Source organism: Homo sapiens, chromosome X (assembly GCF_000001405.40).
Source record: "Homo sapiens chromosome X, GRCh38.p14 Primary Assembly".
Classification (NCBI taxonomy): Eukaryota; Metazoa; Chordata; class Mammalia; order Primates; family Hominidae; genus Homo; species Homo sapiens.
In genome coordinates this window covers 40,406,036-40,407,470 of record NC_000023.11, presented here as the reverse complement: position 1 = coordinate 40,407,470, position 1,435 = coordinate 40,406,036, and the positions used below count along the sequence as shown (strand labels likewise).

At 45.8% G+C, this 1,435-nt stretch overlaps 1 annotated feature.

Annotated features, from left to right (window-relative positions):
* Window positions 1,028–1,077: an enhancer, noted in NCBI's record as "active region_29541". NCBI's record gives its function as "activates an Ori minimal core promoter by ATAC-STARR-seq in GM12878 lymphoblastoid cells {active_cell/tissue: GM12878}" and the evidence as "EXISTENCE:reporter gene assay evidence [ECO:0000049][PMID:35858748]".

Genomic DNA, 1,435 nt, shown 5'->3' with positions numbered 1-1,435 from the left:
TTGGGAGGCTGAGGTGGGAGGATCCCTTGAGCCCAGGAGTTCGAGACCAGCCTGGGCAACACAGTGAGACACCCTCCCAGCCCCGATCTCTACAAAAAATTTAAAAATTAGCTAGGCAATTCTGTGGTCCCAGCTACTTGGGAGGCTGAGGCGGGAGGATCACCTTGAGCCCGGGAGTTCTATGACTGTGCCACTCCCTCCAGCCTGGGTGACGGAGCAAGACACCATCTCTTAAAAAAACAAAAGGAAAAGATTTGTGCCTGGAGTGTTGTTGTAAGTATAACATCCATAATGAATTTGCATATCCTTTGTACAATTAAGATAATACACAAATAGTTATTGGTTTTAAAATCAAGTGCCCAATAAATACATGCCAAATGTATTGGATTATTCATGATTTAACAGAAACCTATATTGGGCTTCTCTTTTCTCATCTGTAGAATAGGGATAAGAATAATACCTACCCAGAGGGTCATAATCTAAAAACATATGACTGTTCATGTAAAGAGCTTAGCTCAGGACATAGCACTTGTAAGCATTCAGTAAATATTGGCTACAGAAGTGGATTTACTGCGAACCTAATAAAGCTTAAGCTTCAGGTCCCTTACTTACACTGGCCCCTTCCAAGCTTGGCTCAGGGGTAGTAAGGTTTTGTACAGACCACCATCTGTTTCCAGTTTAACTTCCCCTCTAACACACCTCCCATTGGGTCAGATGGTGCAAGAGCAGCTGCAGGCATATTTGGGTTCTGGCTAAGGGGAAATGAAAGTGAGGATACAATTAGTTTTTGTTTAGGGGTTTGCAACCACTTCCATGTAAAATTGATGCTAACCATCACACATTGCAGTGCAGAAATAGCCTTCAGGAATTCTCCTACTGCCTCTGGGCTGACTTGCCCACTATTGTGACTTGAAGGTGCGTGCCAAAGGTTGTTTCATAACATAAATGTGTCTGTCCTGCGTATCTCTTGCGACATAGCAAGTCATTCTAGAACTCAGTGGCTTCAAATGACAACAGTCATTTGTTTTGTTCACAAATCTGTAATAGGCAGGGCTTTGCAGGGACAGCTTCTCATGGTTTCACATGGCATCATCTGGGGTGGCTCAAAGGCTGGGGGCTGGAATCATCTGAAGGCTCCGAGTTCATGTATCTGGTGGTTGATGCTGGCTGTGAGCTGAGACCTCAGCTAGCTGGCTGTGGCCTTTCCGTGGGGCCTGGGCATGGCGGCTGGGTTCTAAGGGTGATTGTCCCAAGAGGGCCAAGTGGAAGCTGTCTTGCCTTTTATGACCACCTTGGAAGTCACATAGTGTCACTTCTGAGGTAATCACAGACCCACTCAGATAAGGGGAAGGAAGACAGGCCCCACTCCTCAATGAGAGGGATACCAATATCCCACTATAAGAAGAGCATGTGAGATGGAAGGTCTGATCGTGAC